A 27,558-nucleotide genomic window follows, 5' to 3' on the forward strand; every position below is an offset into this window, starting at 1 on the left:
ATGGAAAACTGCTAAAGCAAATATCTAGAGCAAATTTTACTTTCAGCCAATCTTTTTAAATTTTTGCTGTGATTTTAACTCTGTCATATCTAATGTAAGAAAGGAGCATTGCGGCCTTCTATGCTTACACATAATAGACACAACTGTGTCCATCAGTAAAATCACCACCTACAGAGCATAGCTGGCCAAGGGAAGTGAAGGATCTGCCTTGATTAAGTTTGCTCACTGTGTTGCCACTATATTTCTGGACTCCCCCTTATCACAGTGTGACATCCATTTGCACACCACATTTTTCCAGTGACTGAAAAGTGATCACTGCAGCTTGGCATCCTGCACTGCAATACAATCATTTATTTCTCACAGCACTTTATCCTGGACATTCCCATTGAGCATAAAGCCTTTGAAGTCTATGGTGCATATAATTCATCTGACAGTGGATTGGATTGGAGTCCTTCTAAATAAAGCCCAAGCCTGAGGAGGCATCAAAATTTCTCTTCCATAATTGGCAAGTGCTATTATGCTACTGGGCTATTAAAAAAAAAAAAAAGACATTTACTTGGCCACATATTTTATTGACTTTTGCTATAATAAATTTTTCTTTACTTTTGAAGATTTTTTTTTATGTCTCAAAATTTCCATCTGCCCTAAGCTCTCAAACTTCGCCTCAGTTTGTATTTAGCAATACGCCCACTGAGAAAACAAGGAAATGTTTGTAAGAATTTCCTTAGGCTTTTTGACCTATGAGGATTGCTTTGGTTTCCCCTGAGCTTTTCTATCTAATTTGTGTAAATCCTTTTTAAATTGGGTTCATTTACTTAATGTTAGATGTTTGCAATGACTTACTAAAGCTAATTTCAGAAGGCGGGTGGTTCTGGGAGAGACTGGCTTCTCCAAATGGACCTATGAGAAAGAGAGGGGACAGGAGGGAAATTTGGAAACACAGAGACCAAGGACTTGAATTTATCACAGCCCTAATGTGGCAAGTACTGAAATAGTTACAATAACAACCCTTAGCTTTCAACTTCTTCCCCTTTATAGACCCTAAGATAAGATATGAAACATTCTGCCTGTGTCACTATTTTTAACTCCGTGTTACAATATAAGTAAATCTGGCTTAAGAAACACCTGGGGTAATTCAATAATAAAGCAGGACACAGAAGATGCTAACAGTTGGCACTAGGGCATAAAAACATAGAGAATATAAAATGTAATAGCGATTGCAAAATGTAATACAATTGCATGAAAATGCAATTAAGTCAGGTTGGATAAATAGCTTCCAGGATATAATAGCAAGAAGAGAGAGTTCATTTCAATGAAGTGAAAATGGCAAAAAACTGAATAAATAATTTAAAGCTGGAAATGAAAAAATTCCGCGTGGAGTTTAGAAGACAATTGAGCTCATCTGACCTTGTGCAAGTCAGTTAACCTCCTGGGGCCTCGCTTTCCTTATTAGGAGAAGGAGGAAACAGGAGGGAGCATTAGAATTAGACTACTAATCTCAAAAGTCTATTCGAGTTCTCTCCCTCTCCCCTCTGTTCCTCCCATTCTCCTCCCAGCCACCTACCCCAGGCTTCCAAGTGAGTGGTAACATAGGGCATCAATACATTAGTGGCTGTAGAAAAGAAAATGCATATACACAAACTGTAAATTTGGGTTTCATGCAAAGCAATGATTTTTATACCCTCAGATTATTTGTCATTCTTTATAAAAACAAAAGATAAGAATAAATGCCTGCAATGGTTGAATTTCCCTGTTTTCATCTTTTTCTGGCTACAGTTTTCCCTTATCTGGGGTTACAAAAAGGCATACTGATAAAACAGCCCATGTGGATAATGCCATGCTGAGGTTCCAGGCTCAATCATTCTCTCCACTTTTCTTCCCATCTGGTGTTTTTCTTTCACCTGATCCTCCAGGGTAGAGAAGTTAGCTGGGTGCTAATCAGTAGGTAGAGAAAAGAGAAGCATGTGTTATTGCAAAATGGATGGATCATGGATCATGGGTCAATCAAGCAAGGACTCTAGTGAGAGCTGTTAGAGAGTTAAGTCATTTAACCATGAAGACATACAGAAAGAAAACAATGCCTTCATGCGACATGTAGACACCAGTCAATCACAGAGACCAAAGGGGAATGTTTTGTTTATCATACTTATTTATAAATTCCTGGGATCTTGAGAAAAACCAAAGAGGTATTTCTAATTTCCATGTTTGGCTTTGGGTTTCTTGGCCTGCAGTATAATATAAGTAGTAAACTCTGTGTTCTTCCTTGTCAGCTGAGGATGCATATCCCACCCTTCTCCACTTCAAGTCATTTATCAGGAAACATGAATGTTAAAAAGGATGATGGGGCCGGGTGTGGTGGCTCACGCCTGTAATTCTAGCACTTCGGGAGGCCGAGGCGGGCAGATCACTTGAGCTCAGGAGTTTGAGACCAGCCTGGCCAACATGGCGAAACCCTGTCTCTACTAAAAATACAAAAATTAGCCAAGTGTGGTGACGCATGTCTGTAATCCCATCTACTCAGGTGGCTGAGGCATGAGAACCTTTGAACCCAGGAAGTAGAGGTGGCAGTGAGCTATCACACCACTGCACTCCAGAGTGACTTTGTCTCAAAAAAAAAACAAAAAAAGGATCTTTGTAAATGAAAATTATTGACCACGACCATTAGTTTAATGATCAAATTTATGATTGGAAATGAATCTGTTAGTTATATGATGATTATAATGGTGGACTGTTTAACAGCATTAATAATTTCTCCTTAGTAGGAGACAAACAGAGGATGCACTGGTAATTTAAGTCACTATAACACTACAGCAAAGAGATTAGATGTTGGACTCTGTAGTGAGACTACCTGGGATCCACCACTTCCCAGATATATGACCTTAGGCAAGGTATCTCTCTGGGTATTAGTGTCCTCAAATGTAAACACTGAGATAGAAATGTCAATAGCAACAGCTATCTCATAGGTTTACCCTGGATTAAATGAGCTACTATAGGTCAAGTATGGGAAACAGTCCTGGAACACAGTAAGTACTGTATGTGAGCAATTACTGTGAGAAAGAGGCTTTAGGAGGAACCACTGACAGCAATAACAATGGTCTTTATCTTAATTTCAAGGCACAGATAGCCTTGAATTATGTGTAAAAGTCAGAATTGCAGAGTGTCTATGTCTAGTATTCTGTTTTCCTACACAAATACTCCCTGCCTCAGTTAGATTATTTGAAAAGGAATTTGAAAAGGATCCCTATGAGTGTATGCTATGTGCTGTAGTTGGTGTTTTTTTTTTTTTTTTTTTTTTTGAGACGGAGTCTCGCTCTGTCGCCCAGGCCGGACTGCGGACTGCAGTGGCGCAATCTCGGCTCACTGCAAGCTCCGCTTCCCGGGTTCACGCCATTCTCCTGCCTCAGCCTCCCCAGTAGCTGGGACTACAGGCGCCCGCCACCGCGCCCGGCTAATTTTTTGTATTTTTAGTAGAGACGGGGTTTCACCTTGTTAGCCAGGATGGTCTCGATCTCCTGACCTCATGATCCACCCGCCTCGGCCTCCCAAAGTGCTGGGATTACAGGCGTGAGCCACCGCGCCCGGCCTGTAGTTGGTGTTTTGTTTGTGGGAGCAAGATAGAGAAGTTATCACATACTTCCAGCAGAGGAAACTTGGGCTTGTTTAATTATTTCAGGATAACATTTTTTTAAAAGTCAGGTTATCAAAAACAATGAGTTAATCTTACAGGAATACATGGCAAAATGTAGCTCCGGAAGCAGTCTAGCTTTAGAAAACCAGAGTGAATAAAGAGTAGAATTCTTATTCAGAATGGAACAGCAGTCCATAAGTCTTTTTTTTCTCATGACTCAGCTCCTCTGACTCCAACATCTCTTTCTACTTTTTCCAACTACTATTTGGTAACCTTAAGTATTTCTTGTACTCAAACTCTTCCAAAAGGATCTAACTGGTTCAGTTAGGTTTTGTTTTTATTTGTTGCTTTGTTTTTGTAGGAATTAATGGATCCACTGAGCAAAAGACCCCAAGCCAATGTCTTCATAAATTCTCATCTAGTCCATTCATAGTCTTCAACTGAAGAAGCAACCCTGGTCTAATCAGTTGTGTTCAGTGTGTTAAGTGTCTTGCAGAATGAAGCATGGTAAGCCATACCCAATAAATGGTTTCTTGGTTGCATTGTTTAGAAACAATGAATTTAAACCAATTGTCCCATCAAATAACCATTTGGACTCACAGCAATTCAGTTAACCTTTGGGGGCTTTAATTTCCTCACCTATGATGTCAGGAGAGTGGCCTGAATAACATGTAATATTCTTTATAACTCTAAAATGTTATGATCCATTTGCTCCCTTAAATTCCCTTTTACTAAATGGTTAATGCTTTGAAAATAAACATTCTTTAGCTTGTGTGCTTTTAACATTTTTTCTCTCTTCAAAGATTTATATTTCCTTTATATTTAGCATATGTAAAAGCAAATATTGTAGTATGAGTTTGCTCAGTATACCCAATAAACTAAAAACCAGGGTCAATCTCAAATCTTACCAGGTAAATATCCAATTGGGTTTCTACTGTCATTGTCCCAATCTTATTATTTCCTTTTCTGTTGTTATCAGAAGGAAAGGGTGGACATTCCAGAAATGGAATCCCCTCTATTTTTCCATTAAGGATTTCCCTAAGAATCTCTTTCATGTCAAGTATTCTCAGGGTTCCATGAAAACAAAAGTATTTCCTCCACTCAAATAGAAGGATTTGACTGAAGTTGACAGGAAAGAGTGCAAGGATCAATCAGAAATGTTTACCATAATAACACTATGAAGGAGTTGTGACATTTCAACTGTATAACTGCTAATGTGACTTTGGGTCATTGAAAATACATTAGTGAGAACAGGCGAGGTCATGCTAAGTTAACAAGCAACACTATGATCAACAACAAAGGTTGATTTCTTGCTCAAGCTACATACCTCATCATAGATCAACAAGGAGGCTTTGCATATCATTATCATTTAGTCACCCAGGCTAACAGAGTAGCTCCCACTGCAAACATCACTGTGTAGTATGCCAAAGAACACAGCAAGACTTGGAGGTCTTGGGCAATCAATTAAATGCTCAGCCCTAAGTTGACACATATCATTTTCCTTTACGATGCCTCGTCCAGAACTAGTCCCATGGCCCCTACATCCACAAGGGAGCCAGGAGGTGAAATAAACTCTGTATTTAGGAAGTCGAGAGCTGGAAATAATCAGAGAGCAGTACTGATGAGTACTCTAGAATATTACCTTAAAGATAATATTTAGATAATACTTTCCTGGAGGTATCTAAAATTTAGGGTCACTGGAAGTCCTATCCTTATGCCTAGGAGACTTTCTTTGTATTAAATAAACCAGTGCTGAAGAGAACAAGGTCTTGGGCTCTAACCCTTTAAAAATCATTTGTGTTTATCTTCATACTATCATGGCCATGGCTAGAAGCCCTCTTTAAACAATCCAGACAACCTGAAAAAGACAGACTGAAGCCAGATGGTGATAGATTGTCTTCAACGAGTATCACGAATAGAAACATGGCACCAACACTTGATCCACAACTGCAAAAGTATTATCCAGTTTGCATTCTTCATACAATGCACAGCACATTTGAATCACCCCACTTTTGGAATAAATCCATGCAAAAATGCATTAGGAATAAAAGGTGTTACCTTAGTAGGCATCATTACTTTGATATTCCACACATTTTATAAGCAAACATTTATATTTTGAAAATGGAAAAGAAATAAGATATGCAACCACTTTTTCTGAGCTATCATCAATTATAAGAAAATACTGAGATTCCCTGCACTTTGGGAGGCCGAGGCAGGCGGATCATGAGGTCAGGAGATCGAGACCATCCTGGCTAACACGGTGAAACCCCGTCTCTACTAAAAATACAAAAAATTAGCTGGGAGCAGTGGCAGGCGCCTGTAGTCCCAGCTACTCGGGAGGCTGAGGCAGGAGAATGGCGTGAACCCAGGAGGCGGAGCTTGCAGTGAGCCGAGATCGCGCCACTGCACTCCAGCCTGGGCGACAGAGCGAGACTCCGTCTCAAAAAAAAAAAAAAAAAAAAGTACTGAAATATTGTTCACCTTCTGTGTTTAACCCACAACTCACAAGCACCCAAATATTTGTTGTTTCATTCAGGGTTGAAAGTGTAGAAAGTGAAGGACACTCATTTTACTGGGGTGAGCAGGTATATGCAACCCTACCTCTCAAGGCTGAGGAAGCTGAGGGGTCAAAGAAAGAGGCTGACAAATCCAGTTTTCTGAGAAAGAAAATATTTAATAGGGACTAATGAACTGAAGCAATGTCTCAAGTGGCTGCGGAGAGTAGATCCCTGCACCCACTCTCCAGAAATATTCTTTATATAGCAAGCTTTTAGGGTAAAGACATGAATAGCTGATTATGTCTCAAACTGTTTTGCTGAAACATGATCACTAGGGATGATAAAGATAAACATCTTTATGAGGGTATCTGTGTTAAGGGTATTGTTTCTTTATGAGGGGTAATCTGTGCTATAGGCATTATTTAAAGACCTTGCTGCAAGAACATCTATCCAGGAGTCAAACATCAGTCATCATGGTGATTTTGTTTCAAGATGGCATTACTCTTGCCATGCAACATGCTGTTTTCCTATGCCCAAGAAAGATATTCAATTAACATGATCAATATAGACATTCATAGCAGATATTTCACATTTTTAAAATCTACATTGTGATCTCAATTATCTGGATTAATTTTCCTAATTAATTGCAACTATAGATTAATTGCTCTTTTTTTTTCATTTTGTATGGCCTTAATGAAATGTGAGTCTAGTTAAAGTGCAAATTTCTTTTCTTTGTAAGGAAATGGTCCAGGCTAGAAGGGAAACACATTTGTAGCTAACTTCAATGGCTTGTCTTTAGAATTCCCTATACTTTATCTGGAAAGTCCTCCTTTCCTTGAATTCTAGTGGGACACTTGGCATTCCAACTGGCTGCAGGGAGAGGTGGTTTCTGATAGGGAGTATTGAGCTCTTTACACTCTCTTGTCATCTTCAACTCCAACTTCAACTTCAACTCTTGTCAACTCCAACATGCAGCTGGAGACAGAAACTAAAGGTCTCTTCCAAGGTTGAAAGCAACCTTGCTCTTTGCTCCAAAAAGGGATACTACTTCTATTTTCCAATGATGTTCACTATACAAACATCCTTGAAAGTATAATTCAGAAAAAGGCAGTGTACCTCTGCTCACAAGTCATGCAGACATGTGAGAGATTTATGGATAATTATCTCTCAATACTATTTCTTAGAAGAATTTAGATCTAAATATCCTTGGAGAAAGACGACATCAACTTATCTGCATCAAGCTACTGTTGTCCAATTTTAAACGGGCATTTACATTTTATTCTTTTTCTAAATCCTCTCTGTCTTAGGAAAATCTAGATTATGCTGCAATAATGAACAACCTCTAAAATCTCAGAAGTTTAATGAAAAACATTTTAGTTTCACTCACACCATTCTATATAAGGCTATTTTATACTGTCGCTCAAATAGATAGAATTTTACTTTCTTATAGATGCACTATGTACAGCACTGTCTCCTCAATGGCCCTGGCATCAGAAGACAGAAAGACTCATACATGGACTTTTCACTGCCTTATCCTGAAAATGACATAGGTCATATTTTATTAGCCAGTGCTGGTTACATGGTCAGATCTAATGTAAAGGTGCTGGGAATATAGGAAGGCTAATGGAATACTGAGTAAGCATTCCTCTCTCAGACACACTTTATTTGGACTTCCCACCATTCTTCCATTTTGTGTTTTTAGGAACAATGCTAATCCACTTCTTGACTTAGATTACCAGATCTGTTTTGTCTAGATTCAAAGGAATCTTTCTGATGATATATTCCCTCAGTCCTCTAGAACGTGAAATCAGAAACCTATAGCCCTGCCTTTATAACATTAAGTGGGCTTTGTCATTCTTTGCACAGGCAAAACGTACTTTCCACCAAGGTGAAAGAAAGGTTGCCCATTCGATATCTAAGTTGCTTATTGGTTTAATTGATTGTGGCTGTTATTGGGCTTCAGAAATAGATTACAAAAGAAACATACCAGGACTTTGGGAGTCCTTAGAGTGATGGAGGGAGAGGACACAGGTAAGCCAAAACCTGTAAAACAACGGTGTATGGTATTTGCTGTGATTTAGGTATGCACAGGGTATTTGGAAAGCTCAGAGGAAGAGGCACTTAATCTAGATCAGGGGCTTCCGAGAAAACTTTCTGATTTTTTAGGGAATACTTGAATTGACATTTGAAGGACACATAATAGCTAAACTTATTTTTTTAAGTGAAAGTGGCTGGAAAATCGTTCTAGAAATAGATAACAATTTGCCCAAGGACAGAAACATGAAAGATCATGGCTCTGTTTTTAAAACAATGTGAACTATTAAAGGATTTTAAGTACAATGAGATTTTTGTATTATAAAGATCATTCTGACAGCAAATTAAGGGATTGGAAGGAAGTGAGACTGAGTCTGTAGCAGTGTCAGGAGGCTTTCACAATATCCCAGACAATAGTGCAAGTATAGATAGAAAGGAGGAAATTGATGTGTATGATGGTAAGTAGATAGAATATCAGAATGTGATAATTAAGTGGACATTGGGAATGAGAAAGAGAGAAGGCTCAAGTGTAACTCCAAAACTTCATAGTTATATGGAAAAATATAAATTTTAGGATGAAAATAAAGTTTATCCTTTGATTGGCAGCTGCGGAACATAATGGTATACATTCTGATCTGAAGTTCAGCGGAAGCCATGGATACAGACAGAGGAAATTACCCTGGGAAAGGGAGATGAAAGGAGAGAGGGGAGAGGTCAGCAACATGACAACATCCTGAGAAGAGCCACAACATAAGTGTGCCTCTGTTAATAGGATATGCAAGCTTTGTGTCTACCTATGTGTTGAACAATGTGAGCTTTAAAGAGAAAACAAAATCACCAGAACAATTTCAAAATGCTTTGCCTCACCGACTTTCACCTTCTAAGCACATTCAACATAAATTCAGTGATGAAGAAAATCACAGATTTAAAGTAAGTGGCAAATTGAAAGCATGTGTTAGTCACCAGCAAACACTAAATATGTTTTACACTTCCAAATCTCTTGTCTTCACTGGTGCACTGCTGAAATAATCATGATAAACCTCACAAAACTCCCAGGAGGTAGGAAATGAACGTGGCAGTACTTGGTGGCATCCTTGTAAATAAGAACAGATGCTCATCCATCCACAAAACCATTTTGTGCCAGACTGCCTTAGGTCATGGGGTGGTTGAACAAAGGAAATCCCAGTCTTCTACCTGTCCCAGCTCAATGAGATTGGCATTAGATGTAACTGCTGTTGAACCAACTGGAGTCAGGAAATCTTTCACATAGAGCAACACTTTGGAATATTAGAAACTTGCCAAGGAGCTCAAAGCACATCTGAGTCATTGATTCACTAACTCCCAGGCAGTCCTTGTGGAACAGGAAATGGCTTTGCATACAATTTTAGAAGAGCTGAAACCTTAAAGTCAGCAAATTAGTGGCCAAGCCCAAATCCCAGTAAAGTCCTTTTTTTACTAAACCCAAACACTTGGCACTATCGCCTAAGTACATAAGGAGGTCTTGGAGGATGCATCCCTTGGAAACTCCCTCAGTGAGCTCAGTTATATCTCCAGTTTGCTTGGTACAGAGCCATTTTGACTCACCACCTAAAAGCTGTAGGGAGGAGAGGTGGCCCAGCCTCCACTCTACTCCTGTTTCTTGTCATCCTCTCAAGAACTGCTGCTACTCCTTTCAGCCTGGTTCCAAGCCAGAGACCCTGCTGTTTTTATTGGAGGCAGAAAATGAGTAAGGAAGAGTGATAATTCCCTTCAACAAGTACCCTGGGACATTCACTTGTTGCTTTGGCATGGTACCTCATGACATTTTGAGCTGCTACTTCATTAAAACGGGAATTTTGATTACACTGCCCTGCCTCCTAGGCATATTATGTGCTTCTTTAAAGACTAATCTAAAGGCATTTGGGCTCAATGGCTTCATATAGTTTACAAGTTTTGATAAAAGTTTGATAAAAATATGTCTTTCAAAAAAAAATCACTTCTCCTTTAAAAACAGGAGAGTGGAAATCACAGCAGTCATTATCTGTTTCTACTCAGGGCTGAATTGTTCTTCTGAGAATCTCTTCCATTGTGCTTTTAAATATTGTATTATGCGACATCAAATCCTGTTTTAATGCAACATATTGATTCTCTTATAGGCTAGGGTATTATCGTCTTAAACAGATTCAAAGTAAATGATTAAACATAGCTTATGCCATTGCAGTCGCCAGCAATTTAACATCCTCTTCTGACTGGCATGTTTAGTGGCTGGCTGCTCAAGTGGTGAAGGATAGAACCTTTTACACTGATGGCTGTGAAATGAAAGTCAAAGACAATGTAAAGCCTCTCATTGCCCCCTTTCCATAAAATAACTAACACATATTAATTGTAAAAATACAGTAGGCTTAGTTCCTTTAGGACAGGAGGCTTATTTCTCCACTATTGGTATAGCTAGAAAAGAAAAGAGGAGAAGGTAAAAACACTCTGCTTTATTCATTGAACTTTTGAACAATAGCTAGGGCTAAGCTGGTGTCTGGCAACCTGCAACATGTTTGTGCTCAAAGCATACCTTTTCAGTTGTTTTAGAAAGCACAGCTCTGTGGGAAAGCATTTTGGTAAGAATCAAATTTCCTTACCAGTGTCATAAATGTGTAAAATTGAGCCAGTGTTTGTATCATAGAAAAATGCTAAATGGAGAAGATTTGGGAGGGAAGAAGAGATCAGAGTGCTGCTCAGTTGCTTATATGGAAAGTATGACCTAAACCAGCCCTTGTGTGAATGACACTGTCACCTGTCCTACAAAATCCAAAATGAGCTCCCTAAGGTACTGGGATAATTGGAGACTACTTACCCAAGATAGATCCTTGGGAGCCAGCTGTGCAATGGGGCTGGGTTTCAGCTCTCTTCAAGCTGGTCACTCCTGGGACATGAATGTCTCTCAGATTTCCAAGGAGGTGAATAGTGGAGGAAGGAGTAGGATCAAGGGCATACAGGTTTTAAAACTTGAAAGCCAGAAGACATCACTACATAGAAGGCAAAGAGCATGTTGGAAAGAGACTTTTTACTCATGGCAGAAAGATGCATCTTTTTTACCCTTTCAGAATTATCCTAAAGTGGGTATCCTAGGAGGGGCTGCTCCCAAAGGGTGCACAGTGTCCCTTCTATTAATGACTCTTGATATGTCCTCTGACTTGTTTTCTCAGTTTACATTTGAAAACATAATGTATTGATTAGTTGTGACTTGGCCACAGTAACTCATTTTGTCCTTGGTAGTGCTAAGGTCAGACTCCAAGCTGAACTTCCAGTGAGCTTCCCATTTCACTGACATTTCCATTTCAGCCCTTTACTCTTTGGCTGAAAGCCAATCTCTTTTTATCAAAATACACAGCCCATTTTAGATATTTCAAAACAAACATGATCACAAAGTAACCTGAAAGGTGAAGTGAAAGAGGTAATAAATAGTTCCAAAAGGGTTATTTCTGAATTAGCAGGAGATTAAGAATTGGGGGAAGAGAAGAAAGCAGCCAAACATCTCTAAGAAAAGGGATATGCCCTTCCGTGGACAGAGTGAGGTGGGATGGAGGAGTTGTCCATCCTTGAGAGTAGAATATCCCCCTAGGTGGTCAGAGGTGGGGTTTGTGACAGAGGGAGGAGAACAGCCAGAAAGGAGCTGACAAGTGTCAGCCCAACACAATTGATTTTCTGATGAAATGAGGCTTTCCTACTGTAAGATGTGTATATTTTTGTTTAGTGGGCATTTGGGATGAGAGCTCTAAGGAAGAAAGAGGAAGTGATATCCTGGAATAAGCATTCTGGAGAAGCATGGCTAGGTTTAGACAAAGGCTATCGGCTTTAAAAAATAGATTGTATTATTATTCAGGGACAGTGAGGCCAACAGATCAGAGGACTACTGCCATTGAAAAGATTATTACTCCAAGTTCCTATGGGGGGTGGGGCACATCATGCCACCCAGGGTCGCACTGGGAAGCACCGGGGTCAGTCAGGAGGCAGAGGAAATGAAGGCCAAGTATGGGCACAAGCCTCAACTGTCGTTTCCCTAGGAAGGAATGGGCCGAGCGGGGTAAGCTGGTTTAGGATTGCATAGCCTGAATAATTTGCATGGGCTCTGGAGCATAGGGACTTCTCCAGTGTTCTTGTTGGCTCTGGGATGATTAAAGGAAGGGAATAGTGGCAAGAGTATAAAAGCCTGATAAAGTAGGCGGTGGGCTGCTGGGTCCTAGATTGGTTAGTTTGCATATGAAAGGCGGCTAAGGAGTGAGTTTTTTGCTATGTCTAGAAATTGACTTGCCCTAGGAGGGTCAATCTCTCCAGGATCCACAAGTCCCAGGAGTCAAAGCCTCAGAGATACAGAAAATAAAAGTGTGATTAATACACTATCCAAGGGTGATGTCCCCACATTAGAGAAGGAAAGAGACTCCTTCCTTGGTATGATATTGATATCATACCAATAAGTGGTATCCTTGTGAAAAGAAAGTGCTGTATCTAATTAGATATGTTTTGAGAGGTGATAGTGTCCAGGAGAGTGAGGACAATCCTGGGAGTGAAGATGTTGTCCTGGGTAGGGTAGGAGTGGTCATCTGCAGGAGAATGTCCCACAAAGAAGTGGCATGGACACTCTGCTGAGGGCTCCAAATGCAGAGGGAAATTGACCCAAAATAGGAAATGATAAATGGCATGACAGATGAAATCATAGCTCTTTCAAATGGAAAGTAGCCTCCTCCTACAAATAATATTCTTGAATCTGTGGCCTGAAACAACTGGAGGATCACCATTCCTTTTTTTTTTTTTTTTTTTTTTTTTTTTTGTCTGGTGTTACAACCAGAGAAACAGTGGTTTCAATTGGTTGGGAAAGGCAGCATCTACACGGAGAGCACAGCAGGCCTGTTTACCTCTCAGCTTGTGCTGTTGGGTTTACAGCAATATTTTCTGCATCTTAGTCAAAGAATTTTACTTGTCCAGTGTTGAGCTGTTAGAGGAAAATTGATTTGTCTATTTATTTTTAGCAATATTATAAAAACAAGCTGGGGAGAGGGCTGTTCATTCTCTCAACCCCACCTTTCTCAATACATTTCTCAAATAGCACACTCCCTGGGAGGGTCTATGACAACAGAATCCCTCCAGATTTAAATCTAGACCTGAACACTTGAAACCAGGCATGTGATATTGGAAAAGTGGCTTTCAACCACCTTGTGAATGAGAAGCGGCAGCCAGCAAAATGCAACCATGAATCTACTCCCAAATCATGAAAGCTGTTGACTTCCTCATTTATTATGTTAGTGGCTCAGGGGAAAATAAAAACTGCACAGTGATTTGCAGTCAAATTTCTACTGCACTACTGGAAGTTACAATGGTGTAAGGTGGGGGGAGTTTTCAGCTCTGATGTTCTAGTAGAGCTGAGTGAAGGGAGAGGCAGGCTGAAGGACTTTGAGTCCTGGTCCATTCATCTCAATTTTCCTAACTGAACAACCCACTCCCCGACTAGAAAAGTCCTCTCCTTAACTGGGCTATAGCTACAGTCTACAGATAATGCAGCCACTGGATACTAAAAGCCACTAGGTGGCATTTGTGATTTATTACTTTGGAAGCTGAGATTTTTAAAATATCTCTGCTGATCCTTTGCTTAGACTGAACAAGACATTTAACATTCCTAAGCATTTCATTCAAGAAATGCATAGTTGGTTCTCTTTATCAAGCTCAAAAGGGATGGGGGAGGCGCAGTGACTGGCTTGAGAAGTTGAATTTCAGATCATCTACATTCTTTTGCAGGTCCTCTGTGACCTCACACCATCAGCTTACATAAGTAATTACTTGTCTACAATTAAGCTGTAAATAATGCAATCACTCCATTCTTGTCCCATCACTCCAGTCCCAACCACAACAAATAGTGCTAATCACATACTTATTCAAGTGTGTAATTATTCACAGTTAAACTTCTGTCACTTTCACCCTGTTTGGAAACAGCAGAACACAACCTGTAATTAGCAAATGTGGCTCCAGGCACTTTTGCTTGGGAGTACGCCAGGGATTCAGCACCTAGGCACTCCTTTGATCTGGAAGCTGGCAAGGCGCCTCACCCTGAGGCCAGAGTGCTATCAGCACTCTGCAAGTCACTGAGATCAATGAATATGTCAAAGGCATCTATCCCAAATCACATATTACTTCCCTCTCTCACTGTGGTTTCTGCCTTCGGTATATATTTCATAGACTTTCCTTTTCTTTTTGAACCCTTTGACTTCAGTTTAAAGGGTTACCAGAAAGGTCTCCAAGCCCCTGTGTTTTCAACTCTGGTTAAAAATGAAAGTCCCAGAAGTCCTGATTGATGATCCTTGTTCTTTCTTAACTCTGCAGTTTTCTTGAACACAGCACAATGGAGGAGGAATGGCCTTTGCTACCTCACCTGGACCACAAGGAAGAAGGAAACCAAAGACTTTAGCCCAACCCTGTGTGAACCACTTCCCCTCAGTCCCCAGCTAAACCACCCTGCATGAGTACTCTAGTTGCAAAGGAGACCAGGTAAACTTCTGATGTTTTGTAGTACATCCGTTATATTTCATCAGAGCAACAACTCAGCAGCACACATCCTTCCCGGGGAGAGGTAATAGTGTCCTCCTGGGTGGAAAGCAGGATTCAGTAGCCAACTTCTTTCCACAGAGGAAGGCCATAGTCCTTGAGCTATGAGGTAGTTCTTTTCATAAAAATATATTGGGCCCACAGAAAAGAATAGTGAGCCATAAAGGCCCAGTATGTACAACCATGAATTAGATTTTTATTTGCATGTCATATTAAGAATTACAATTTGTTTGTTTGAGGAAAGGTTATTCTACCTTCATTAAGACCTCCGACGGCAATTACCTAATGAAAACAAGTTCTCATATCTAGCTAGTTTAATGTCTTCCTTTTCTGATATATCCAATTAAGACAGAGCTTTTTCACTTCAACCAAATGTGAATATGCCTCACAGTAGAAGGGTAAACAGAACTGTTCTTTGTATATAAACATTAGTTAGCTTTTGGTTCTAACCATAACAAAACCAGTTTTTGAAATAATATTTAGAGGTCTCGAAGAGAAGAACAGCTATGCAAGCTTCTCCATCAAAGAAGATTGTCCTCAGAATAGAAAGCTTCCCAGGGTAGAAGGTAAAGTGTGAGCAATATAGGGATGCTCCCTGGCCAACTAACTTAACCAAATGAGCCAAATTAGCCCTGGCAAACAGTGCAGTGACAGATGTGTGAGCCAGATTGCCAAGATGTTTTTATTTTATAATTTTTTAAGATGAAATGCTATGACTGCTTCTATGTGAGCAAAGTGGAGCAGTGCTGAGTAGTATCTGGTGATTTTGATTAATACAGACTGACAAGCAATCTGGAGGATTAGTTAAAAAACAAACCAAAACAGACTTCTATTTTCTCCAACAGCAATGATCTTCAACACAGTTTCACTGATAATAATACTGATGATTTTTTAATTTTTTTAATTGACAGATAAAACTGTCTGTATTTACCAGGTACAATATGATGTTCTGATTTTTAAATCTCCACTTAATTTAGCCCATTTGAACAAGCAGGACTCTGTTTTTTAAAACTAATTTTTGAAAGATCTTAATATGCAGTCCACTAACATAACAAGATGGCAAAAACCACCTGCACTGCTGGCTTGGAAGATGGGTGAAAAGTTGCTTCACCTGCACTGCCCTGTCTGCCTTCCCGAGACTGAAAAACTTTTAAAAAACTCCTTTCCCTCCTGACTTCAGGGCACAATATGACATTTAGTCAGAAACTGCATGTAGATCTATATGTGTATATAATCTATATTTATATATTTATATCTATATCTGTCTACCTACTTACCTACCTGTATATCGTTGGACAACTAGAACCCAAAAAGTCATATTCAGCCCCAAATATAACACAGTGTTAATCAATCCACTTCCTGCCATGCCCAATCTCGCCACCTTGGCCAGGGCTACTGTCATTTGTCATCTGGCACTGGTCTCTCTAACTCTCATTGAACTCTCGCATTCCTTTTTTTTTTTTTAGACTGAGTTTTGCTCTTGTTGCCCAGGCTGGAGTGCAATGGCATGAACCTCAGCTCACTGTAACCTCTGCCTCCCAGGTTCAAGCAATTCTCCTGCCTCAGCCTCCCAAGTAGCTGGGATTACAGGCGTGCACCACCATGCCTGGCTAATTTTTTGTATTTTTAGAAGAGATAGGATTTCACCACATTGGTCAGGCTGGTCTCGAACTCCTGACCTCAGGTGATCCAGCCGCCTTGGCCTCCCAAAGTTCTGGCATTATAGGCATGAGCCACTGCACCCAGCTTCACGTTCCTTTCAGGGCATTCTCCTCACAGCAGGGACACTGATTTTAAAATATAAATCTGATCATGTCACACTTTGGTTTAAATGTCTCCAGTGCTTTCCATTGCACTTAGAATACACCTTGCCATGACTTACAAGGCCCACCTGATCTTGTATCTGCCAGTTCGGTTCCCCATTCCTGGGCCAGCTTCACTAGTCTTTCCGTTGTTGAGGTATGCCCAGAATTGTACACACCTTGTGTCTTCACCTTGGGTTGCTCTTCCCTGAGCTCTACCAACAGCCTCAGCTTACATGTCTGGCCCTTTGTGGCTGCCCTACCTAGAATAGGTGGTCCCTTCTATACCTTCAGTCTCAGCCGTGTGACTGATTCTTTTATGACACAAATCACCATTGGTAACCAGTCTATTTGCTCATTATATATTGGTACCTACTAGAATGTAAGTTCCTTCTAGCAAAGTAATGATCTTATTCACTACTGGATCTCCAGTGCCCATTCCAATACCCACTCTATAGCTGATGCCCCCAAAATTATTTGTTAAACAAATGAATAAATAGAATATAATCAATCAAAAGGCTAAAGAATGCAATGTGGAAACTGCCTTGTGAGAGTTCTTTGAGTAATTGCAAGTAAATAAAGGCAGTGAGTAACACTTTTCCCGTACATTTTATTTTGAAAAATTTCGAACATACTCATGAAATAATTTTATATGAATACCCTTCAGATTCAGCCATTAGCATTTTATTGTGCTTGCTTTATCACATATCTGTCTATCCATCCCTCTTTCTATATTTTAATCTGCCTGATTTGGGGTGCCTTTCAAAGCAAATTGCAGACAGTTGCATATTATTAACTAGAATTTAGTATTTGTTAAATTTTTTCTTTTGATTTATAGTTTACATATAATGAAATGCATAAATTTGTGCATAAAGAAAATTTTCACTAATTTTTTCTGAATGCACACAGCTTTGTAGCCCAAATTTCTATCCAGATCAGAACAGTATCTATGCCCTTTAATAGTTGATCTTCAACTCCAACCGTTATAATTTTTTTCTACCAGAAATTAGCTTTACTTACTCTAGAATTTCATATGAATGGAATCATGCAGTATATATTCTTTTGTTTATGGCTTCTTTCACATAAATATAATGTTTCTGAGATTCATTTGTGTTGCTGCATATATTAGCTATTAATTTATTTTTACTGCTGAGTAGTATTTCATGTGTGAATATACTATAGTTTGTTTATTCATTCTTCTTTTGACAGATGTCTAATTTATTCCCACTTTTGAGCTATTATGAATAAAGCTTCCATGATCACTCATAAACAAGAATTTTTGTGAAGATAGTTTTCCTTTCTTTTGCATGAATACCTAAGAAAGGAATCATGAGTTATAGGTAATATTCAGTTATAAGGCATATGCTTAGTTTTATAAGAAACTTCCAAAAATTTTTCCAAAGTGATTGCACAATTTTATTTTCCCATCAACAATGTATGAGTTCCATTACAATCTTGATAACACTTAGTGTTATCGATCTTTTTAATTTTAGCCATATTCATGGATGTTAAAGTGGTATCTCATTGTGGCTTTAATTTGCATTTCCCTGATGACTAATGATATTAAGTACTTTTTAATGTGCTTATTGGCCACTTGCTATGTTTCATTTTGCAAAATGTTTGTTCAAATATTTTCTTTATTTTCTATTGAGTTGTTGGTGTTTTTATTATTGAGTTGTGTGATTTCTCTTTTCTTCTGTTGCCCAGGCTGGAATGCAGTGGCAAGCATAGCTCCTGGTAACCTCAAACTCCTGGGCTCCAGCCATCCTCCTCCAGCTTCAGCCTGCCAAGTAGCTGGGACTACAGATGCACCACCACACTCAGCAAATTTTTAAATTTTTTGTAGAGACAGGGTCTCACTGTGTTGCCCAGGCTGATCTCAAACTCCTGGCCTCAAGCAATCCTCACACCTTGGCATCCCAAAGTGTTGGGATTGTAGGTGTGAACCACCACACTCAGCCTGATTCCCTTATATACCCTGTCTCTGGTATATTTTTCCCCAGTCTGTGGCTTACCTTTCGTTTTCCTAAGTGAGCTTTTTGATGAACAGAAGTTTTTAATTTTGTTGTAGTCAAATTAATCAACTTCTTGTGGTTATTGCTTTATATGACCTAAGAAACCTTCCCATATCCCCAATTCCTGAAGATAGTCTTCTGTATTTTTCTCTAAATGATCTTATCTTTAGATACACTCCACCTTGAATTAATTTTTGTATATGGTGTAATGTAGGCATGGAGGTTTTTGTTTATTTGTTTTGTTTTATATGGATATCTAATTGTTCCAGCAACATTTGTTAAAAAGACTTTCCTTTCCCAGATGCCTTATTTTGGCATCTTCATCAAAAATCAAATGACTAAGTGTGGTTTGATTTCTAGGCTGTCTATTACATTCTTTTGATTTATATGTTGATCCTGATGTCAGTACTATTCTTGACTAATATAGCTTTATAGTAAATCTTAAAATCAGACAATTTAAGTCCTTTGACTTTGCTCTTTTTTTCCAAGACTGCTTTGATTATTACAGGTGGTTTGCATTTCCATATCAATTCTGGAGTCAGCTTGTCAATTTCTACAAAAATTCTGCAGGGATTTTGATTGGGATTACATTAAATTGGGGATAGCACTTTGATGCAATTTTAAGTGTTCTGAAAGGCATCCCCTAACCAGTCCTCTCTTGCTCATTGAAGGGTCCCATCAGATTCCCCTTAAAAGGTTATTTGGATTAAAATGTGTAATTGGGTTTCTCCTACTATAAACAATAACTGGTATTTTAAAATGTACTTAAAGGGCTTTACATTCATAATATTATTTAATCCACATGCAAAACCAAACCCTATGAGTGATAATTTATTTCTTCCAAATTACACATGAGATGCCTGAGGCCCAAGGAGTTTAAATAATTTGCCCAAGTTCAGACAGCTAGGAGGGAGAATTTGAATTCAGATGCCTCCTACCCTGAAGATTAAATGTCCCAGGAAACGGATTTTATTATCCTTTATTGTCCATTATCATATGAGTGCGGGGGTTTGTATCACCTGGGATCCATATACTAAAGGACAGGTAAATGAAACAAGGTCCTTCTGTGACATTGAAAGAAGCAATGACCTTCACAGAGGGAGCCTGTGCGAATTTACCTTTGGATACCCAGGGTCAGAGGACACCACTGAGGACCAGAAACTAGAGTGATAGGGACACTGAAGGCAAAGAGCCTCTCTCCCAATTTGGCCTGCAGAGGCCCTGACTGGAGGATGACCGTCTAAAAACAGCTTGTTCTAATGCCTTTAGCTGCCTGAGAATATTTCTGTCTTGAGAAACTCACATGCGATACACTTGGCAATAGCTTCAGGGCACTGATTCCTCCTCCTTCCCTCAGATGAGCTCAGGGCAGCAAAGAGAACATAGAGATTCACAAATGAGCTTTCTTTGTAGGGCACTGTCTGCTTTGAGATTCTTCATTAAATCTTTTTCACAAATAAATTGCCCAAAGTCCATGGGGAATATTTCCATCTTTTAATCATATACAGTTTGAATTGACTCTAGAATTGCAGTGTATGTGGCAGGGCTGGTTGGAGGGCCTGGACAGGGGCTGGGGAGCTTCAGAAGCCCAGCCCTTGCAATCTCTTTTGAATGTAAGTAACAAAAGGAGGCCCCAAAGGGAGCAATTGGAGTGAGCCTATATTTTGTAATGTGTTTAGCACCCATTGTGGCTGGATTTTTAAAACCGTGAAAGTTAATTATGCATCTTACCTATTGGTTTAATATTGATTCCAGAAGTGAAATCTTGGGGTTCAACTTTCCTCACACTGGCTGGTGAGCCATGCTAGATTAATAGTTTAAATAAAATGTCAAGTATCGGATTGCCATGGAAACATTAATACAAAGTGGACCCAGTGGCACTTTGTGCTGTAGAATTACAATGATATGAATTACCTCGGTCTCCAGACACCTTCCGAAATGGCCAGGGCTGCATCCCTGAAATATGGGTCATTCAAGCACAAAGGAAGAAATGGTATGGACTGCTCCTACTCAGTCATGTTCCCATGCACACAGCTATAAGCTGGGCAAATGCCAGTTTCTTTTAAAAGACAGACGCAGGTAATGCAGGCAGATGTTGCTGTGATATGGTTCTCCCTTCTCGTGGAAAAACCAGTGAGAATGGGATGCCAGCTTTAGTGGTCTTCAGTCCTGGGGGAGGGGAGAGTGTGTCAAGAGTGTGTCAGTCACCCAGGGGTTAGAGCTCAGGAAGGCGCAGCATGCACTTTGGGGCGTGCTCCAGGACCTCTCTATGAAACACGTGTTCCAACTGCCTCCCCCAGCCTGATTAGCAGAGCACTGCTGATTATGTTATGCAAATGATAGGAGATGGATTTCACATTTCCCCCAGCCAGGCTTTGCACAGCTTTGCATTTATTATTCCCCTTTAAAAATACGGAGTCCTCAGAGAAGGGGAACGGCTCGTTTTTATTTGATCGCCAGCAGAGTTGGCACAGACCTGTCAAGCAATCATCCTGGGCTGTGATCTGCAAAGCTGCCCTTTGTTGTTCAATTCCCCCCACCCCCCAGATTGTTTACAAGACACGCAGAGACATCTGCATGCCTCAAAACAAGTTATTTCCTGATTCGGCACAACTTGTCAGCCTGGGTGATGAAAATGTTACAGCATTTGCTGACAAGCCATCAGATAAACCTGGAGTTACGTCCCCAGCACCTTGTCCTCATTCACAGCTCAGGATGGTAAACATTAGCAGGTCCTGGTTCTAGATGATTGTGCAATCAGCCATCTGCCCCTTAGCACTTCTAATAGTGCTTTCTACTCAATGGTGTTTGTCCATCACCAGAAAAACAGTGACTAGATTTCTCTCTGTTTGGAAATAGGAGGATTATGCTTGTGTTTGCTGCATTCCCAATAAGGTCTAGAAATCAAGGTTGGGTCTCTTGAATTTTAGATAAAAGTCTTGAGTGTCTTCAATTTAAATATTTCTATGCCCCATGTCGTAGTAAGATGTTTCCTTCCATTCCTTCTGTATATGTGAAAGTCAAGAAAACATAGTATAGCTTTCTATTAGCCTTTCTTCTCTCCACCTCTCTTCCTCCCCATTGATTCTGCCCCCACCTCCCACCCCAGGGAGGAAGTAATATAATTTGTATAAAATGATCCACTGGAAATTAATGTGGCAGAGATTAGCTGACATATCCAACTCCCCCTCCAGAAGAATTTATATGATGATTTCTCCTGATTTACAAGACACAGCCTAGCAACAGTATGAGCTCATCGAAGTGGGGAAAAATGGCTGCTTGTCACAACTTGGTAAGAGCTCCACAGATCTTTGTCAAATGGAAATAAAACTCTGTAGCTCTAGAAAGGTGTATTAAATCAGAGATTCATAATTCAGCTTTGCAAATAGCTACTCGCCACCTACCTCTGGTGAATCACAACTCTTTCCAGACATGTGGCATAGAATACCGACATATATATATATATATATATATATATATATATATATATATATACACACACACATACACATCATATATATATAGGCACACATGCACATCATATATATATATATATACACATACACATATATACTTGCACATACATGAGAAGTGGATGTTATCTTCATTTTTTAGATGGAAAAAACAAGACAGAGAAAGTTTGTATGACTGTTTGGGTTGTAATGTAATGTAACGTAGTCGGAATTCAAATACAGGTTTATGTTGATTCAGTCCATGGTTTATACACCAGTGAGAAAACTTGTAGTTTCCAGTGGCAGCGAACCCAATGCAAGTTGATGTATACAATAGAGGGAATTGGTTGTCTCCCATAACTGAAAAAGCCAGAGGTTGGCTTCACTGGAAGCTTGCTCCAGCAGTTTAAATGATAGTGCAAAGGCATAATTTCTTAGTCTATCTACACTTATGTTTCTTAAAGGAGGTTTATCCTCAGGTTCCACACTGTGGCAAAGCAGCTCTTTCTCTCCCAGCAGGATGCCACAGTGCTTCCCCGGTGGTTCTGAATGGTACATCTTCAACATGCCAACCAGAAAAGAAAGACTGATTTTTAACTCCCAGAGAAGAGGAAGCTCCTCTTTCTTAGAAATATCTTCTATTAAGTCGTAGAATCTGATACAATTACATTCCCATCCTTGAACCAGTCCCTTGGTTAGAGGAAATGGGCCAATCAAGGCTGACATCTAAAATTAGAGGTGAGAATGCCACAGAAACCAAATGGCTAAGAATGAAGAAGAGAGATACTGTCCCTCAATGCTTGTCCAAAACAACAATAGAAAGACAAAAAAACAAGTGTTTCCTCTTTACCCTTCTAATATGTGATAGAGACAATGAAGCAAAAGACATCTATACAATGGACTTAAGAGCACATATAAAGCACATTCAAACATGGAAAGTAAAAAAGAGCAGAGAAAGACCACTGAAGGAGTTCTTTTGGTTAGATAAGAAACAAACAAAGGCAAAGTTCCAATATAGAAAGTTTAAGTAGTTTTATTGTTGTCGGTAGTGGGTGGTTGTTTTGTTTTTCGCAGGAAATAGCTAAGAGCTGTAAGGAAAAGCTGAAGTGCAAAAGTGGAGAAATCAATCATCTCAGGGATAGAATATACATGCTCTTTGCTGTTAGAGAAGTAAGAGAAATGATTTTGATGAGGCTAAGTGATATATTCTGAAAAGCTGAACAATCTAGGCTTTCTAATTATATGAAATATCAAACTGCTGCAGATTTTGAACTGAAAATTAACATGTTAAAAATGTTCTGGTTGAGGAAGTTTTTCTATTCTATTCTGCATTACATGGCTAGAGTGGAGAAGTGATCAATTGTAAGGAGAAGGTAAGTGGAAGGAAGGCGAGTCAGTGCCTGGGAGGTGAGGTCATTCTCTGCAAAAACACGTGTTAGGCACATTCCACACCACGAGTCAGGCTGTATGCTAGGCTCAATACTAGGAGAGAGACACAAAGATGAATTAGAAATAGACTCTCCTCACAGAGCTCACAGTCTGTAAGTGGAGGTAAATGTGTAGATATCAATCACAATCCAACATTGTAGGTAGTATATGAAGAGAAGGGAAAAATACCATGGGGTTCACATGAACAACAGACTCAACTAGAGAAATTAAAGGAGTCTCCACTTGAGCTCGGTCATATAGAAGTACAATAGCCTAAATTAGCATGACGGTCTTGGAATATAAATAGTGGGTCATAGCTCAGCTGTTATGTTGCAGGGGATGCAAGTTGATGAAAGACAGAAAGGGACAGAGAGAAAGGAAAGAAAGAAGGAAGCAAAAAAGGAAGGAAGGATAGAAGGAAGGAAGGAGAGTGAGGAGGAATGGAGGAAGGATGGATGGAAGGAAAGGAAGGAAGAAAATACAATTGCCTTCTTACTTGGTTGCATTTGTTTGTTCTGTGGTTAAATAGTCCAGGCCTTCCACTTTTCCTTTTTCAAACTTTCAGTAGACCTGGCCTTAAAATGTCATCAATGATAGCAGAAAATGAGAATAAATGAACTAACATTTTCATTTAAAGTTAGCAAGAGAATGTGGTTGGTTAGGGTTAATGTAATGGAATTAGTTTGTACACATTTCCTATCTTTCTGCCCTTAACCTATGTTATATGGTAATTTTTAATATAATTTATGATATCACCTAGAATAAAGGGACGTTTTTTAAAAACTGAAACATTGAGTTGGGACTAGAGATGAAAAACACAAACCAATTAATAATATTATTTTTCCACTAATTGATACTTTGGCAGGACATGAATGTATGCATGTTAGAGAAAGGGAAGATGACAGGCTGTTGTTTTAACCTTGTAGAATAAAATCATTATAAAGAAACAACTTCAGACATTAGTGATTTCAACTGAGAATTTTTCTCTGCTGTGATTGAGAAACGTTACCCTGTCAGAAATTTCAGAAAGTGAATGAGAGGTGAGGACTAGAGGACCAGTAACAATTTTGCCTAAACCGGAGATGTGTCATTCCCTAGCTCTGGAGTTTCTTGTATTCCTATAAATATTCACTCACTGTGAGGTGTAACTAAGCGACATATACACTGTATTTATGTCCTACTCAACCCGTCACTTACTAATATAGCAGTCAAGCAGTGCCAGATTATACTGTTTCCTCTTGCACTTTATGGCTGGCATCGCAAACTTTCTGTTCTCTTCCGTCCACAACTCGTTTTTGTTCAATTGTTCATTGAAGTAGGCTCCCCTTGAAATTTGGAAGAAATTAAATGTTATATTTGCATTCATACCCAATTAATTAATCATGATTAATGTTCCTACAATGAATACAAAATGAATTAATCATGATTAGTAACATACTGAAATGTGAAGCTTAGAATCTGATTTTTCCCACTTGGTATGTAATGTACAAACCTTGGAAGGGTGTCCATAGATTTCAGCTTCTTTGTCCTTTCTTCTGTTTTTGTGACTGTTCTAGGTCATTGACCAAGGTTTGTGGATAAGAGTGTTCATAAATAAAAGTGGATAGTGATCATACTCCTCCTGGGATTCAGGAGCAAAACCCTTATACAGATGGTAATCATAAGCCTTTAGACCAAGAATTGGTGTACTCTGGCCCATGAGTCAGGTATAGCCTGCTGCCTTTCTTTGTTTGTCATTTGTGTATTGTCTATGGCTGCTTAGATGCTACTATTGCAGAGTAGAATAGTTGTAACAGAGAGATACCATATGGCACAAAGCCAAAAATACTTATCTGGTTCTTTACCAGCTACATATTGGCCAATCCCTGCTTTATTTAAATGGGCATAGTAGAACAGATATCTCATTTATGATTTTTTAAATTACCTTAACTCTTTGAGGGTAAGGACACTTAAGTGGTTCTAAATGAAATGTCCTAGAAGACAGTGATTCTAAATTTGCCTACCGTGCCAGGCACAGTGTCCAGCACAGTGCTTGGCACTTAACACACCCCTTCTAGGGGAGTGAATGAATAAATGAATGGATAAATGTATACTCCATAGTGCTTGAGCATGGACTTTATCCCACTTTAATGCCTAATTTTATACCTATGAAATAGGGAGAATTTGTTGTTGTTATGTAAAACATTTTTTGAGATTAGACACAATTATATAAAATATTATACAGTTCTACAGGATTTACTTTTGCATTTTAGTTATTCAGCAAACGCATGTAGGGACAATAATGTGCTAAGCATATGTGCTTTGCAAATATTAATTTATTTAATTCTCATGCAACCCTTGGCTATAGAGTTTCAGATGAGAATAATAAAGCACAGAGAAGGGAAGTGGCTGGGTCAAGGTCACACAGGTACTAAGTTTGGACCTCATTGCAAATGGCCCCATCAAGAATGATATGTTAGTGTTTTGTGTCTCCAAGTCTCCAAAAGTACATATGAATCCAGCATGTCCTTTTTATAACATGGCCTAAACTGGTCAACAGATATCCTTTGGAAAAATATATGTAATCCTTCAAGAAATATATTATATCCTATTAATTCTTGAGATGAAGATTTCAAGATTAAATAAGTAGAATTTCAGACGCTTATTCAATCTATCCATTTGATTCACTTTTAAATCAGTTCGAAGGGCATAAATAAATGAAGGAAACATAAAAATATGGGATTCCCTATATCAGCCAGTTCTCAATTTCAAGCAGCAGTAAGCAACAAAATTAATGAGGAAAAACAATTTCCTAGAAGGATAGTAGGTGGTTCACAGACTTGACCCCTGAAAAACCAGGCTCCAATAATGAGTGGGAACAAAGGGAGTCTGAGCATCAGGGGATGAACTAATCTCTGAGCATGATAGCTGTCCAGGTGGGGAACACTACTCAGGATTCTATGATTACTGGCCATGTTCCATTTCCCTAATTCACTTATAGGAAGGTAGCCATTTGTTATAAATATTTTCTGAATTGTCTATGTATTTTTGCATCACTACCTCAAGATTTAAAGACCTAGATAGGTGAAAGTTGCATTTCTTAGCTGCCCAGCGGGTGAAGAGCAAACATAACTGCTTTTCTATCACCAAGCTTCACTGAGGATATCTCAAAAACGAGAAGTATTTAGATACTGGGGAGCCAGCACATACACACAGGCACATGCATATATGTACATATACAGACACATATACAACCATATAGATAGGGATATCACTAACAAGCCTCACCCCTACTATTTGGCTGTCTGTATTTTTCTCTATTAATACAATAATTTTCAAAAGAATGTTCCTTTCTCTAGTTCTCTTGTCAATAACTAAAAAATGAAATTTTTAAAATGATGATTACAATTTCAACAAGTTTTTTTTGTTTGTTTGTTTATGTGGCAGGAAGTTGGGATTTTGGAATAAACTTTAAGCCATTATTTTTAACACAGAGAAAGTATGTTAACTTTATATGGGTTAATCATAAGTTAATGGGAATCTACAATTACTCCTAAAGTGGTTCTTTATATGCAGAGAAAAAATCTGCACTTATCACTTACTTTACTGGGAGCAAATGTTCAATCAGTATCAAATATTTAAAAGCAAGGAGCTAAACAAGGGAACTCATGGATGTGCTAAAAGTATAATTCATACTGTTGGTGAAGAATTAAAACCTGCAGTTCAAATTTGCATCTCGTTCAACTTTTTGTGTTTGTAATTGGATTATATGTCATTATTTCTTCTTTCATTCATTCAAGAAAAATTCATTGAGCTTATTCTAAGTGCCAAGTAATGTGCATATAGGGGACCTACTAACGGCCACATTCTGGAAGCAGAAAGCACTGTCCTTTGGGAAATTATAATCTACCTAACTTTGGTAGACTCTCATCTGTCAAGATTTTTATTCTACTTCTTAAGTGAGTACAATGAAAGATTTTCTAAATCAAACAAAGTGTTTTATAGAACGCTATCTTGTTTCATTCAAATAACCCCAAAATATGATAGATTGATAGAATAATGGTTGCTAATAAATCACGCCCTTTGCAATGTTTGTTGTCACTCCTCTCATCAAGAATGTTATCATTTTCCCACCTATTAAATTTGGGCTGGACA

The 27,558-nt window shown here is 39.0% G+C and overlaps 1 long non-coding RNA gene across 3 annotated transcripts, besides 1 other annotated feature; it reads right to left on the reverse strand.

Annotated features, from left to right (window-relative positions):
- Window positions 1-1,699: 1,699 nt before the first annotated feature.
- LOC105370418 (uncharacterized) lies at window positions 1,700-16,790 on the reverse strand. 3 transcript variants are annotated; one of them, XR_001750673.1, is made up of 5 exons: window positions 16,619-16,790; window positions 13,047-14,554; window positions 10,988-11,159; window positions 4,956-5,223; window positions 1,700-1,934 (listed from the first exon to the last, which is right to left on the reverse strand). It is a non-coding gene; the product is annotated as an uncharacterized LOC105370418 (long non-coding RNA). The 3 variants fall into 3 exon arrangements; XR_943640.2 differs by lacking the exon at window positions 13,047-14,554; XR_001750674.1 differs by lacking the exon at window positions 4,956-5,223.
- Window positions 13,732-14,425: an enhancer, noted in NCBI's record as "NANOG hESC enhancer chr14:26863472-26864165 (GRCh37/hg19 assembly coordinates)". NCBI's record gives its function as "activates a minimal SCP1, AML or CMV promoter by ChIP-STARR-seq in naive H9 embryonic stem cells {active_cell/tissue: H9 hESC(naive)}" and the evidence as "EXISTENCE:reporter gene assay evidence [ECO:0000049][PMID:30033119]".
- Window positions 16,791-27,558: the final 10,768 nt, after the last annotated feature.

This window comes from Homo sapiens, chromosome 14 (genome assembly GCF_000001405.40).
Source record: "Homo sapiens chromosome 14, GRCh38.p14 Primary Assembly".
Classification (NCBI taxonomy): Eukaryota; Metazoa; Chordata; class Mammalia; order Primates; family Hominidae; genus Homo; species Homo sapiens.